This window comes from Homo sapiens, chromosome 1 (assembly GCF_000001405.40).
Source record: "Homo sapiens chromosome 1, GRCh38.p14 Primary Assembly".
Lineage (NCBI taxonomy): Eukaryota > Metazoa > Chordata > Mammalia > Primates > Hominidae > Homo > Homo sapiens.
Window position 1 is genome coordinate 27,984,087 of NC_000001.11, and position 15,691 is coordinate 27,999,777.

Genomic DNA, 15,691 nt, shown 5'->3' on the forward strand with positions numbered 1-15,691 from the left:
GCAGTGGCACAGTCACAGCTCACTGCAGCCTCCTTGAACTCTTGGGCTCAAGTGATCCTCCCGCCTTAGCCTCTTGAGTAGCTGGGATTACAGGCACTCACCACCACACCCGGCTAATTTTTATTTTTATTTTTGTAGAGATGGGGCCTCACTATGTTACCCACGATGGTCCTGAACTCCTGGCCTCAAGTGATGCCTTGGCCTCCCAAAGTGCTGGAATTAAAGGCATGTGCCCAGCTTGTCACTTTGTTATATTTAACTGTATGTAAAATTAAAAGTTCCATGCAATCAATGATTTTTTTTTTTTGCTTTTTATACTATCTTTTGATTCTTAAAAGAGGCCCATCCTCACCTTAAGATCACACAGATACTCTTCTATATTTTCTCCTAAAAATTAAAAAACTTACCTTTTGCGGTAAGTTTTTAATCTACCTGTAATTTATTTTTGCATATAACATAAAGAAGGAAAACAATTCTGCCTTTTTTCCTATATGGATAATCCAGTTATCTTAGCACCACTGATCGAAGGTAAGTTCCATGAGGACAGAGGACTTTTGTCACTGCTGTATTCCTAGTGCCTTGGCGTTGCCTAGCACACAATAAGCACCGTTATTATTTTTCCTCATCTAGTGGATCGTTTCCATCTGCATATAAAATAGATATAATTTCTCTTATGAATCTTATAAATCCTCTGAAGTCCATATAACTCTAGAGCCACTACTTCATTTTTCTGTTCCTCTCCAAACAAACCTCCTCTAAAGAGTTGTATAGTTCCCTTCTCCAACTCTCCTTCCATTCTCTCTCATTTACTAATAAGTTAGTAAAAATATTAGAACAGGCCTAATAAAAATATTGTTAGACCAGTTCTATAAAATTTCAATTCTCTCTTAAACTACTTCCAATTAGGGTTTAATCCCGATCACTCCCCTATTCAAACTGCATGTCAAAGCTATTAATGATCTTCATGTATCTAAAAACAATCTTCAATTCAATTCTCAAGTCTTTTTTTGAGACAGGGTCTCACTGTGTTGCCCAGACTGGAGTACAGTGGCATAATCACGGCTCACTGCAGTTTTGACCACCTGGGCTCAAGCGATTGTCCCACCTCAGCCTCCCAAGTAGCCGGGACTACAGACATGCACCACCACTCCCAGCTAATTAAAAAACAAAAAAAACAAAAACAAAAACAACTATGTAGCCCAGGCTGGTCTTGAACCCCCGGGCTCAAGCAATCCTTCTGCCTCAGCCTCTCAAAGTGCTGGGATTACAGGTGTGAACCACTGTACCTGGCCCTTGGGTCTCATTTGACCCATCAACAACATTAGAAGGAGTTGATCACTCTTCCTTCATTCTTTCAAGACACCATTCTTCTCATTCTCCTCCTGCCTCACAGGTCAATCTTCCTGACACATTTTGCTGGTTCTTCCTCATGATCCAAACATTAGAGGACCCCAGGGCGTAGTTCTTAGACCTCTATTCTTCTCTATCTCTACTCACTTCTTTTTTTGTTGTTGAGGTGGAGTCTCGCTCTGTCACCCAGGCTGGAGTGCAGTGGCGCCATCTCGGCTTACCGCAACCTCCACCTCCCAGGTTCAAGCGATGCTCCTGCCTCAGCCTCCCGAGTAACTGTGATTACAGGCGCCTGCCACCAAGCCCAGCTAGTTTTTGTATTTTTAGTAGAGAGGGGGTTTCATCATGTTGACTAGGCTGGTCTTGAACTCCTGGCCACAAGTAATCAGCCCGTCTTGGCCTCCCAAAGTGCTGAGATTACAGGTGTGAGCCACTACACTTGGCCTGTACTCACTTCTAAGATCTCATTTTACTTGAGAAAACTGAGGCTCAGGAAAGAAGATAATCTGCCTAAGGTGAGAGCTAGTAGTAGGGAGGCCAGGACTTAAATCCTTGTCCTTGATGTTTATTTTCTTTTTCCTTTAAAAAAAAAAGCTGGTAAAATATGCATAACATGAAATTCACTAATCTTTAAAACAAAAAATTTTGGCGAGGTGCGGTGGCTCATGCCTGTAATCCCAGCACTTTGGGAAGCTGAGGCAGATGGATCACCTGAGGTCAGGAGTTCAAGACCAACCTGACCAACATAGTGAAACCCCGTCTCTACTAAAAATATAAAATTAGCTGGGCATGGTGGTGCATGCCTGTAATCTCAGCTACTTGGGACGCTGAGGCAAGAGAATCGCTTGAACCTGGGAGGCAGAAGTTGCGGTAAGCCAAGATCGCACCATTGCACTCCAGCCTGAGCAACAAGAGCGAAACTCCAACTCAAAAAAAAGTAGCATAAAATTTACTCTCTTAACATTTTTTTTTTTTTTTTTGAGGCAGAGTCTCACTCTGTTGCCCAGGCTGGAGTGCAGTAGCGCGATCTCGGCTCACTGCAACTCCACCTCCCAGGCTCAAGCAATTCTCCTGCCTCAGCCTCCCAAGTAGGTGGGATTACAGGCTCACGCCACCATGCCCGACTAATTTTGTATTTTTAGTAGAGACAGAGTTTCACCATTGTGGCCAGGCTGGTCTTGAACTCCTGACCTCAAGTGATCCACCTGCCTTGGCCTCCCAAAGTGCTGGGATTACAGGCGTGAGCCACTGTGCCTGGCTTCTCTTAACAATTATTATTATTTCGAGATGGAGTCTCACTCTGTCACCCAGGCTGGAGTGCAGTGGTGCAATCTCGGCTCACTGCAACCTCCGCCTCTCAGGTTCAAGGGATTCTCCTGCCTCAGCCTCCTGAGTAGCTAGGACTGCAGGCGAGTGCCACCACGCCCAGCTAATTTTTTGTATTTTTAGTAGAGATGGGGTTTCACCGTGTGAGCCAGGATAGTCTCGATCTCCTGACCTTGTGATCCACCCACCTGAGCCTCCCAAAGTGCTGGGATTACAGGTGTGAGCCACTGTACCCGGCCTCTTAACAATTTTTAAGTGTAAAGTTCTGTCATGTTAACTATTATTTAACAGATGTCTGGAACCTTTTCATTTTGCATGACCGCAACTCTATACCCGTTGAACAATTCCCATTTCCCTTCCCCTCCAGCCTCTGGCAATTATCATTCTACTTTCAGTTCTATGCATGTGATTACTTTAGAAGCCTCATATAAATGGAATCATAAAGTATTTGTCTTTTTGTGATTGTCTTATTTTCACTTTCATTTAGCATGTCTTCAAGGTTCAGCCATGATGTAGCCTGTGACAGAATTTCCTTCCTTTTTAAGGCCAAATAATATTTCACTGTACGTGTATACCACATTTTGTTTATCCATTCATCCACATTTGACATTTGAGCTGCTTCTAAGCTCTGAACTATTGTCAATAATGCTGCTATAAACATGAGTGTGCAGGTATCTCTTTGAGACCCTGCTTTTGGATATTTGGATATATTTCAAGAACCTGAGACCCAATTCTCTCAGATATTTACGCAGAAGATTACCCAGGCTGAACTCAAACTCCTGGGCTCAAGTGATCCTCCTGACTCAGCCTCCCAAATACCTGGGACTACAGGTATGCACCACCGTGTCTATCAACAGTTGCATCATTTTATAATCTTACCAACAGTGCACAAAGGTTCCAATTTCTCCACATCCTTGTCAATACCTTTTATTTATTTATTTAGAGACGGAGTCTCGCTCTGTCACCCAGGCTGGAGTGCAGTGGCGCGATCTCAGCTTACTGCAAGCTCCGCCTCCCAGGTTCATGCCATTCTCCTGCCTCAGCCTCCCAAGTAGCTGGGACTACAGGCGCCTGCCATCATACCCAGCTAATTTTTTGGTCAATACCTGTTATTTTATTTAAGACATAGGGTCTCATTCTGTCACCTAGATTATAGCACAGTGGCAAGATCACATAGCTCACTGCAGCATTGAACTTCTGGCTCAAGTGACCCTCCCACCTTAACCTTCCAAGTAGTTAGGACTACAGCTGCGTGCCACCACACCCAGCTAATTAAAAAAACTTTTTTGTAGAGACGGAGGTCTGCCATGTGGCTCAGGCTGGTGTTGAACTCCTGGCCTCAAGTGATCCTCCCGTCTCAGCCTCCCAAAGTGGTGGTAATACAGGTATGATTCATCTTGTCTGGCCACCATTTTTAGGTATATAGTTTAGAAGCTTGATTTTTAACCTAGTGCTTTTTCTATTATACTACATACTCTCTGTGAAAAAGAGAAACTTGAAATGAGGCAAAACTAGATTTCTAAGCTAGATATTATGTTCTTTCAAATATTATCAAAGAGCATGCTTATGTAACTTACTAGCTGTGAGAACCTGAGCAAGCTATATAACTACTAAGCCTCAATTGCATTACTGAAAATATTAGAAGACTGTTGTGAGGACTGTAGGTATTACAAATAAAGTGTCTAACAAGAGGGGCTAGAAAATAATAGGTGCATCATGAGTAGAAAGTTTTATTGCAAGGCCAGTGACAAGAAACAGCATAGAAACCATACCAATTTTGGTAGCACTATAGATGTTCTCAATAGGAAATATTTCTCCTAGTCCATATAGGAGAACCTTGGCCAGGGCTGGAACCAGCTGGGTGGTAGTGATCAGAACATTCACACAATTCTTTCTATAAGGGAGTAAAAGGGAAAAGAAAAGGTGAAACTAAACCAACCTGGGAGCAAGAATTCGTATGTGCCAACTCTTTAGAATTTAATTATTAAAAATTAACTTTAAAGGACCTGGTATTATACTGTTCAGAGCCAATGTTCAGCTACTACTCATTATTTCATGTTCATTTACTTTCTATATTAAAGGGCAGAGATTCTACTCATTTTTGTTATCTTAGTGGACACACAGCAACAACTTAGTTCTTGCCTTCTTTCCCCTCTGACCATTCTAGTCACAAGTACTTGATAAATACCACCAACCCATGTCACTGATAGCATATTTTAGAAAACAAACAACAAAAAGCTCTGAGCTGTACTCTTTCATCTGAATGCAAGTCAGTCCATAAATGAGATATGATTTGTGTTCGCTTTGCTCTTCACACAATAGCAACATAGATTCTAGAATACACATTAATTTTATATGTCCTTTACCTTCACCAGATATCCACTCCTTGGTGTCAGCTTTACTGTTTACTACGTTGTGGATCTGGAATTACTGCTTTGCGGGAGGGAGTAATAGGGTATTGGTGCAGACACAGACTGGTGCATTTATTTCCCAGTCTAAGCTTCACGTTGAAATCTCCTTAATCTGCTTAATGTACCCTTTTTCTTTTGAATCTTGCCTTCTTTAGTGGGTTTGGATACATTTCTTGGAGCTTCCTGTACCTAGGACATTGTAATAACATCTCCTCCATGTATTCTTTGACGTCACCAGGTCCAACTTATGGACAAGAGATTATGGGTTACTGAGTTTTAATTTCGTGAGCAAAAAGTAAGGAGAAAGAAAAAGGATTTCATATATAAATATTCTCTTAAAACTAGAAGTTGTGCTGTTAACATAAAATGACCTTGCTTCTCACCTAACACAAATACTTCCCTACATCATTTAAACTCCTCTCTACCCCTATCCCAAACCCTATTTTAGAGAATGGCTTATCCTGAACTGGAGTAGAAGAATATGTCGCTGAGAGGATGAGACCTAAAAGAACCATTTCCATACCTGGACTGGATGAGAAGTAAGGACTTTAATGCAGTTCCTAACCAGGAATCTGTTAAAACTTCAATTTCTGCTCTTAATCTCTGCAGTGCTTCCTTCCTCTGGGGACTGAGGAGACCTTTAGGAATAAAAGCAGACACATTTATCATTTGACAACATATATTTGCTGACAGTGAGAAAGCAACTTCTAAATTCAATTTAAAAAGTGTGAGTCACTGAAATATTCTACTGAGTATGTTTATATATATATATATACATATACGTATTTTTTTCCCATGAACACATGTGCTTTATTGAATTCCATTGTAGACAGGTGAATATAAACTGCTGTATATAGGGGTGGGGTCAAAAGGGCAGGACCAACAGCCCCAGGGTGCAGGGTCAGCAGTGGAGTACATGGGCTCTACTACTGGCCTTGGAGATCCTTTATCTTCTGAGAAATTGCTTGGAAGATTATCACTGAGCTAGTGGTGAAAAGCATGATGAGTGCAATGACCACAGGGATGTCGAGGAACAGGGTACAGATGTTCAAGCACTTGGTGGTGGAGGCACAGGCCTGCGCCCCGGTCACATCACCCACCATCTTCCTGTCCCTAGACTTCATGCAGTACACTAATGCTATGAAGCCCAGGAAGCACTAGTTTATGAAGAGCATTTTGAACAGGGTTTGGGCATGGAGGTCTCACTGCAGATGTGGATCACAGAGGACATCAAGGGAGCAGAGCTATGGGGTGCCCCTAGCATGGCAACCTCGTGTTTCTCCTTGAACATCTCCTAATTTGTCGGGAGGCCAGTGTTGGCGTGAGTGAACAAGGATTTGGAAGTGTGGTTCTTGGTGTCAAGATAAGACCAGTTGTCCTTTTTTTTTTTTTTTTTCTGAGATGGAGTCTTGCTCTGTCGCCCAGGCTGTAGTGTAGTGGTGCAATCTCAGCTTACTGCAACCTCCGCCTCCCAGGTTCAAGCAATTCTCTGCTTCAGCCTCCTGAGTAGCTGGGATTATAGGCAGCTGCCACCACACCCAGCTAATTTTTGTATTTTTAGTAGAGATGGGGTTTCATCATATTGGCCAGGCTGGTCTTGAACTCCTGATCTCATGATCCACCCACCTTGGCCTCCCAAACTGCTGGGATTACAGGTGTGAGCCACCGTGCCTGGCATTTTTTTTTTTTTTAATTTCTCTTCTTGGAGAAACCTTAGAGTAGTGCTACCCAGAATGCCATTTTTACTTTCTTTATCACAGTGTTTTGGGGATGTTCAGGCAAAGATAAATTTTTAGAAAAATCTTGTTACGGGGACACAATAACAACAATAAAATCAGCTGACAGAAATAATTTAGATTCTGGTGCAAGCTCCTTCTTTCATCACCAACCAATAGCATATCTTTTGCAGACTGGTTGACCACACTTTGAATTGCACTGCTTAGAACATGACATCAAGAACCAAAGTGCGAAAAATTAGTGTTACAGCTAGAAGAGTCCTTAGCATTTCTAATCTCTCTGTAAAGAAACGAAACCCAATGAAAAAAAGGGCCCTAAGATTACACAGTAAGTTTGCAGCTTTTGGTCTTAAGAAGTCTTTCCACTACTCCACAGAACTTCCATGGTGACTACTTGTCCACTTGCTTCAGAACATGTTGACATGAAATTCCAGGTTGAATGACTAATTCTCCATACTGTACTTCTGAAACAACTCCAACTGATAAGACACTAAAACACTACCCAAGACTAGATATCTAAGCACAAAAGAGAGCTCATATGATGGGAGCCTGCTCTCAGACACTTCAGTTAAAATATTCAAGCAGTAAATCTGGATCTGAATTTTCTACAGTGAAGGTTAAAAAAAAATCCTGTATTCTATTAGTAATACTCCATAAAAGCAGATGGCATTTTTGTGAGGAGGAGAACTGGAGTATAATTTGTTTTCAGATTGATGGTTCCACAATGTAAGCCTAGAATTAGATGACTCTTAACATTTTGGATAAAACAAAACGACAACAAAACCAGTACCTATATATGATATACTCAACTAATACATGATGTGGCGCTTTCATCAATTCATATTGTACAAAACATACAGCTGGCCATTAATTTTAATCTATTCTCCAAAGTAGGCTCAGAGGATTCTCACACAGGGTTACATCGCTTTGTTCAGGAAACCAGGTCCAGGCATTGGGCAGGGAAAAGATAAAGAGACTCAGGCTGTATATGAAAACTAACAAAAGAAAGGCTAATGTTTGTGAGAAAGAAAATGCAAAAAGATGTGGAGTTACCAAAATAAAAAATACTGGCTTTGAATCATGAGAAGAAATAAGCAACAAAAAGGGGAATCTGAAAAAAGTAAATTAGATTCCTGAAGTCTGGAAGCCCATGATTTTTATCTGGTATTAGAGAGCTGTAACTGAAATGAACCAAATTGATCTGTAAAGTCTTGTTCCTACTTTCTGCGCCATATTGTAAGGCAGCATAGTATAGTACAAGGGCTCTTGACCTTGAGTAAAATACCTCTAGGCCAGCAGTCCTCAACCTTTTCAGCACCAGGGACCAGTTTCGTAGAGGACAATTTTTCCATGGACCTGGGTGGGGGGCGAGAGGTTTCGAGATGAAATTGTTCCACCTCAGATCATCAGGCATTAGTTAGATTTTCATAAGGAACATGCAACTAGATCCCTTGCATGTGCAGTTCACAATAGGGTTTGTACTCCTATGAGAATCTAATGCCGCCACTGATCTGACAGGAAGTGGAGCTCAGGCAGTAATACTCACTTGCCGGCCTGCTCACTTCCTGCTATGTGGCTGTGCTGCCTGGTTGCTAACAGGCCGCTGACTGGTATCAGTCTGAGGCCCGGGAATTGGGGACCCCTGCTCTAGGCAGGCTATGTAATCCCTGAATCTTTGAGCAACATTTTGTATGTATTTGTATCTTTGATGGTGATGGTTTACAGTTTTAAATATTTTCTCAAAAGAGTACCTCACTATAAAAGGAGCTGCATGAAAGTGCACTGGACCAAAAAGTTAGGGAATGTGAATTTCAAACATGGTATGGTTACAAATTTGCAATGTGACCATGAATAAGCTGCCCCCACTACCCCTATGATGGACATCACTTTTCTCAACTGTAAAATGAGGAATTCAGATTAGACTTCTGTCTCTTTTAATTCAAACAATCTATGATTAATTAATTCTAAATAATAGAATTTTAGGCTTAGTGGCATCTGGCATTTGAAATATTTCTGGTCAGAAAGAATTTCCAAGATTCTTTAAATCACAACACATTGATACTACCAACCTACAATCCTGGACCTAGATTTCTGTCCACGAAAAGTTACTAGCTAGTTCTACTTAACTTGTCCTGATAGTTATATAAACCAGCCAAAAAAAAAAATGTGGCACCCTATTAACTAGCGTTGACAGCAGTTGTGATACATGTCATCAAACATAATCTACAGAACATGTTTCCTTTAAAAAGGCATTTGTCCAAAGACAACAAGAGAACTTTCCAAAATTATGCTTAGAGAAGCCCGTTAGAAATATAGAGCTTCCTCCCAAAAGGTTTCAACCAAACCTCTATTTTTTTAAATACAGAGTTTAACATATAACTGTGGCATAATTTATAAGCAGTTGTCATGGGGAATCTAAGGAATCCCTGGAAAGAAAAGGAGGAAACCAGGAAGAAACAGAGAATCAGACTGGTTATATGCCACACTTACCACCCACGTTGCTTTTATGCTTATCATAGATTTCTCTCACTTTCCGGTAGCGGAAAGCTAGTTTCCTCATCCAGTCCACACCTCCCTGAACACCCACAGATGAACCATGGCTGCCACTACCTCCTGAGCCACTGAAACCATCTGTTGAGAAACTGTAGTTGCTGCAAGGAGAGAAGATAATAAAAATTAAAATTTATACAGCATAAAGTTTTTGTTTGAGTGCTATTTGGTTGGGTTCTTGGTATCTGATAAATAAGGCCAATGGCTTTAAGGATCTTCTTCCTTAATCTCTGTATGTCAGAGTCTATCTTTCATTAGTTCTCTATCTCACACTTATTACTTCTATCAAAGAAAGGACTGAAATGAGAGAGGGAATGAAAGGTAGAAACAATTCAAGCACCAGCATTCCTTAGAGGTTGACTTGGGATAAGGCATCTTTTTCACTAATGACAGAAAATAACCACACAGTGAAAAAAGCAGAATATAAAATTTTGTGAGTACACTTACACACACAGTGATTGCAACTATGTAAAAAGGAGAAACATGAAAAAATAATGAAAGGAAATAGGCTAAAATGCTAACAATGGTAAGATAATGGCAGATATTTCCTTAAGTGATCTGCTGGCTGGTTTATGTTCATAGGTCACTGTGGTAGCTTCAAAATATATCTACAAATTCTTTGATATTCCTCTCTTCTAATTCTGCTCCCCTTGGGTATGGACTATACTTAAAATATAAATAGAAAGTGATAAAACTGATAGTGTTAGGCTTCAGAGACTAGGCTTCTTCTGCTCTCTCTTGGAGCACTTGCTCTGGAAGAAGCCAGCTGTCACGTGAGAACATTCAAGCAGCCCCATGGAGAGGTATGTGTAATGAGGAACTAAAGCCTTCTGTCATCAGCCACATGTCAGAGATTGGAAGCACATTCTCCAGCTCCAGTTAAGCTTTCAGATGATTAGAGCTCTAGCCAACATCTTGATTTCAACCCCAGAAACTCTAATTGAGAACTACCTCTGGGGCTGAATGCAGTGGCTCATGCCTATAATCCCAGCACTTTGGGAGGCCGAGGCGGGTGGATCTCCTGAGGTCCCGCCTCGGCCAACATGGTGAAACCCTGTCTTTACAAAAAATACAAAAATTAGCTGGGTGTGGTGGCGCATGCCTGTAGTCCCAGCTACTCGGGAGACTGAGGAAGGAGAATCGCTTGAGATTGGAAGGCAGAGGTTGCAATGAGCCAAGATCACGCCACTGCACTTCAGCTTGCGGGGGGAAAAGAACTACCCCTGGCCAGGTGCAGTGGCTGGTGCCTGTAATTCCAACTATTTGGGAGGCTGAAATGGGAGGATTGCTTGAGGCCAGGAGTTTGAGACCAGCCTGGGCAACATAGCAAGATCCCATCTCTAAGAAAAAAATTTTTTAATTAGTCAGGTATGGTGGTGTGTACCTGTTATCCTAGCTACTTACGAGGCTGAAGTGAGAGGACCACTTGAGCCCAGGAGGCTATTGGGAACTATGATTGCACCATTGCACCTTAGCCTGGGCAACAGAGCAGGCCCCGTCTCTTTGGAAAAAAAAAAAAAAGGAACCACTTCTGTACACTTAAAAAATGATAAAGATGGTAAATTCTATATGTATATGTATATTTTACCTTGACAAAATAAAATTTGTAACAGTGAAAAAATAAATTAACAATAGATTTTCTAGATTTAAAATCCTTTAAGTAGGCTGGGTGTGGTGGCTCATGTCTATAATCCCAGCACTTTGGGAGGCCAATGAGGGGGGATCACTTGGGTCCAGGAGTTCGAGACCAGCCTGGGCAACACAGGGAGACCCCCATCTCTAAAAAAAAAAAAAATGGAAATATTAGCTGGGTATGGTGGCATGCGCCTGTGGGCCCAGCTACTCAGAAGGCTGGGGTGGGAGGATCATTTAAGCCTGGGAGGGTGAAGCTACAGCAAGCCATATATGATCACAACACTGCACTCCAGCCTGGGTGCCAGAGCGAGACCCTATCTTAAAAGGAAAAAAAAAAAAAAAAAAAAGACAATGAGTACAAGCTGGGTGTAGTTGCTCACACCTGTAATCCCAGCACTTTGAGGGGCTGAGGTGGGTAGATTGCTTAAGCTCAGGAGTTCGAGACAAGTGTGGGCAACATGGCACTCTTGCCTCTACTAAAAATACAAAAAATTAGCCAGGAGTGGTGGCATGCGCCTATGGTCCTAGCTATTTTGGGGGCTGGGGTGGGAGGATTGCTTGAGGGAGGCCAGGGACAGGGGTTACAATGAGCCGAGATGGTGCCATTGCACTCCAGCCAAAAATAAAAAATAAAAATGAACAAAGAAATTGAGTAAATATTAATAAAATGAATAAATTAAAATAAAATAAAAAATATTAAGTATTTCTTAAAAAGAAAAACTAGCTAGGTCACTTTTAAGTTCCTCACCTACAGAAGCTGTGAGAGGATAAATGTTTCATTATTTGTTTGTTTTTTAAGACGGAGTCTCACTCTGTCACCCAGGTTGGAGTGCAGGGGCGTGATCTCGGCTCACTACAACTTCTGCCTCCCGGTTTCAAGCAATTCTCCTGCCTCAGCCTCCCAAGTAGCTGGGACTACAGGCGCATGCCACCACGCCTGGCTAATTTTTGTATTTTTAGTAGAGACGGGGTTTCGCCATGTTAGCCAGGCTAGTCTCGAACTCCTGACCTCAAGTGATTGGCCCGCACTGGCCTCCTGAAGTGCTGGGATTACAGGCGTAAGCCACTGCATCTGGCCATTTAACTGTTTTAAGGTACTAAACTCTGGAGTAATTTGTTGCATAGCAACAGATAATACAATTATACAAACTAGGAAGGATTAATATTTCATAAGTAAAGATCTAAAAATGACTGAACAACTTGGTTCAATCAAAAGTTAAAATAGATCCCAATATGCTAAGAGTGAGATTCTGTGCTTAAGAAAATATAGCTGCTAAGACATGATAAGTAATTACTGGTTAGCCACACGTATAAGAGGAAAAAAAACAACTGGGGTTCAGAGCAGAATATAAACTCTTCAGACCAGACTTTTCCCTGAAAAGAACAGTAAAGTGTCATAAGAATTGTGCCCTCCATGACCATGTGACACCACAACATGTACAACTGGATGCTGTACCTGAAAGTGAAACCTTCCAATATTCTCAGCTCTACCTGACTAGGTCCTTATTAAGGTGGTATGTCCAGTTCTACTCCGTATTTGAGAACTGGTGGATAGAACACTGAATTTTGGGGTAGTTACTGGGAAGAACATTTTACTTATAAAAAGGGATAAACATTCAAACAAACTAATATGAAAAGATGTGACAGGTTTTTTTCTTATAAGTCTTTAAGCTAGATAAATTTTTGGATCTTTCTTAGCTAAGGCTAGTGGGCCAGAACAAAGAGGAATGAGGAGCCTGAGCAAGCATTTTGCCACTGAGATCTCCTTGGTTTAACTTTCACTATAATAAAATGTGGAAGACTACCTTACAGAGATGGGATCTCCCTGTGTTGTCCAGGCTGGTCTTGAACTCCAAGACTCAAGTGATCCTCCTGCCTCGCGCTTCTAAGATGCTGCAATTACAGGTGTGAGCCACTGTGCCTGGCTTGCTACCCATTCTTTAATGTTCTGCTTTAATGCTACTCCACTGAGAAACCTCTCCAGTGTTGGCACTACCCACTCCCTATCCCAACAGAATTCTTTCTTCTCGTGCTCCACGGCATTTTCTATTGTCACCTTCTCACACTATACATCACGGTTAACTATGTTTGTTTCTATGTCCTCTAACAGGTTGTGAGCTCTTTCAGAGATATATTCTATTTATCTTTGTTTTCCTCCAAACCTAGACAGACAGATCTTGCACATAACAGGTGTACTGGTGTTCAAGAATCATTATGTTTATCACCTCAAGTCTTGGCCATTGTCATCAGAAGCCACATCTTCCACATGTACCTGGTCACACTCCTGTTAAAAGACAAAACATATTACTTCAGTCCAGGGAGTAGAAGTGATATTACCATCATGACATACTATAAAAAGACCATATACAGTGGCAGGATAATGAAATGCCTTATGGAATCTCTTATGTGTGGGTGATCACTCTCACACCCCTTGCTGTCCAATTCCTCTTAAGACCTGATTCACATCCCAGTCTTCATGAGTTCTGTAACTATCCCATCCCTTGTTTCTACTCCTATCTCAATATTTCATTTCTCCAACAGCTCATGGGAATAAGCACAAGCTCCCTTACACTTCAAATGTTCTTATGTCCTACACCAGACTGTAAGTCCTATTACAATGCAGGTCTCTTGGGGCAGGAGCCACATCTCACATCTCCTTTGCATCTCTCTGATCTAGTCCAGTATCCTTACGTAGGTTGTGCCCAATAAATTTTTATAGACAAAACAGACGCTGGTAGTGTGGTATCAAAACCGAGAATGACTGAAATTTCTAACTTCAAAGTCAGGAGTTAGAAGAGGTCATCTAAATCAATCTCCTCATGTTTTAAAAGTGAGGTGAAATGATTTTCTCAAAGTCATACAATTAGTGAGTGGCAGAAAGAGACTAGAAATAACCCAGGTTTTCTGCTTCTTTTTTTCCCCCGCTTCTAATCCAAGGTTCTTTCCACCAAGCCCATGCTACTACTGACATAAAATGCCGCCCACTACCTAACTGATGGATGTACTCCTCTGATACCACTTAGGGTACCTGCATCAGAATCCTCTGGGGAAGTTTTTTAAAAATGCATATTCTTGGGTCCATCCCAGACCTACTTGAATCAGAATTTCTGAGAGTGAAGTCCTAGAATCTCCACTTTTAAGAAGCTCCCCAGGTGATTCTTATGCCCCCTAAAGTTGAGAAGCACTGACCTGGGGGGCAGGAACACATTCAGGTCAAATTCTTCACAGAACTTTCAGTTCCTGAGTGAGGACTATGTCTAGAAAATCATTACAAATACAATTGGCAATAATTATTGGCATGTAGTAGGTTTTCAATAAATGTTTGCTGAATAAAAACTATGATGTCCTAATTTATCAACATATGAAGTTGAGGGAAGATTAAAGCATTATGGAGTTTAGACAAAAGTACTGGAGCTCGGGGCACTATTAATTTATTGAAGAATTGTCTGTTGAGTAGAACAGACGTTTATTTTAAAAGAGATGGGATTACTTTGTGTTGGCTGGGTGCAGTGCTCACGCCGGTAATCCCAGTACTTTGGGAGGCCAAGGTGGGAGGATCACTTGAGCTCAGGAGTTTGAGACCAGCCTGGGCAATACAGTGAAACCCCATCTCTATTACTAAAAAAAAAAAAAAGATTAAAAAAATGATTACTTTGTGTTTATAAAATACTATCTTTTTATTTTTTATTTTAAAGACAGAGTCTCTCTCTGCTGCCCAGGCTGGAGTGCAGTAGTGCAATCTTTGCTCACTGCAACCTTCCCCTTCTGGGTTCAAGCAATTCTCCTGCCTCAGCCTCCTGAGTAGCTGGGATTACAGGTGTGCGCCACCATGCCCGGCTAATTTTTGTATTTTTGGTAGAGACGGGGTTTCACCATGGTGCTCAGGCTGGTCTCGAACTCCTGACCTCAAGTGATCTGCCCGCCTCGGCCTCCCAAAGTTTTGGGATTACAGGCATGAGCCACCACGCCCAGCCTATAAAATCCTATATTACTTTACTTTAAAATTTTCACTATTTTTAAAACTAGGTAAAACATGTACTACACAGCTCAAAATTCAAAGGACATGAAGTGAAAAGTGTGCTCCCTCCCACCTTTGTGTCCTGGCAACTCATCCCTCTCCATAGATGGTAATCAGTGTTGGTAGTTTCCTGTGTAGGATGACTGCATAACTGAGGCCCAGAATGGGAACATAACTTTCCCTATGTGAGATTCACATTCTGGTCTTCTGACTCCCTGTCCTGTGCTCCTTCTGCTACACCATGTTCACCTTAAAGGTGAACTCAAATGTCAAAGCCAAAAAATTTCACCATGAAGCTCTTAGTGTTTCCTGGTTTTTCTGGCACCTAACTATAAAATTATTCTGAATATCAAGGTTAACCTACATATGAACAACAAATATGTATAAAATATGATGGGTTAGAGTAACCATTTATAGATTCGACAAATCAGGAGACTATCCTTTAAGAATGTAAAATGGAAGAAAAGTCAAAACATAATTGAGAGTACAAATAATCAAACTCACTTTATATATATTATTTAATATAGATTATTAAGTTAGAATATTGGTTTATATGTCAGTGTTTTGCCTGATGGGTTGGCCTTTCCCCTAGTGCTAGATCACCTCCAAATAAACTAACAAAAATCAAATTTTTGAGCCAATAAAATTGAATGTCAGAACCAAAA

At 41.3% G+C, this 15,691-nt stretch overlaps 1 protein-coding gene across 17 annotated transcripts in view; it reads right to left on the reverse strand.

Moving 5' to 3' along the window:
- EYA3 (EYA transcriptional coactivator and phosphatase 3) overlaps positions 1 to 15,691 on the reverse strand; it is a 118,267-nt gene that overhangs the window by 13,743 nt on the left and 88,833 nt on the right. For 15 of the 17 annotated variants that reach the window (NM_001282562.2, NM_001282561.2, NM_001990.4 and 12 more), the window contains 4 exons: positions 13,234 to 13,292; positions 9,314 to 9,474; positions 5,611 to 5,725; positions 4,449 to 4,570 (listed from right to left, as the gene is read on the reverse strand). In NM_001282562.2, the coding sequence (NP_001269491.1) occupies positions 4,449 to 4,570; positions 5,611 to 5,725; positions 9,314 to 9,474; positions 13,234 to 13,292 (457 nt within the window). Of the gene's footprint in view, positions 1 to 4,390; positions 4,571 to 5,610; positions 5,726 to 9,313; positions 9,475 to 13,233; positions 13,293 to 14,197; positions 14,266 to 15,691 lie in introns of those variants that run through there. The other 2 variants (NR_104214.2, XR_007096080.1) reach the window with 2 other exon arrangements.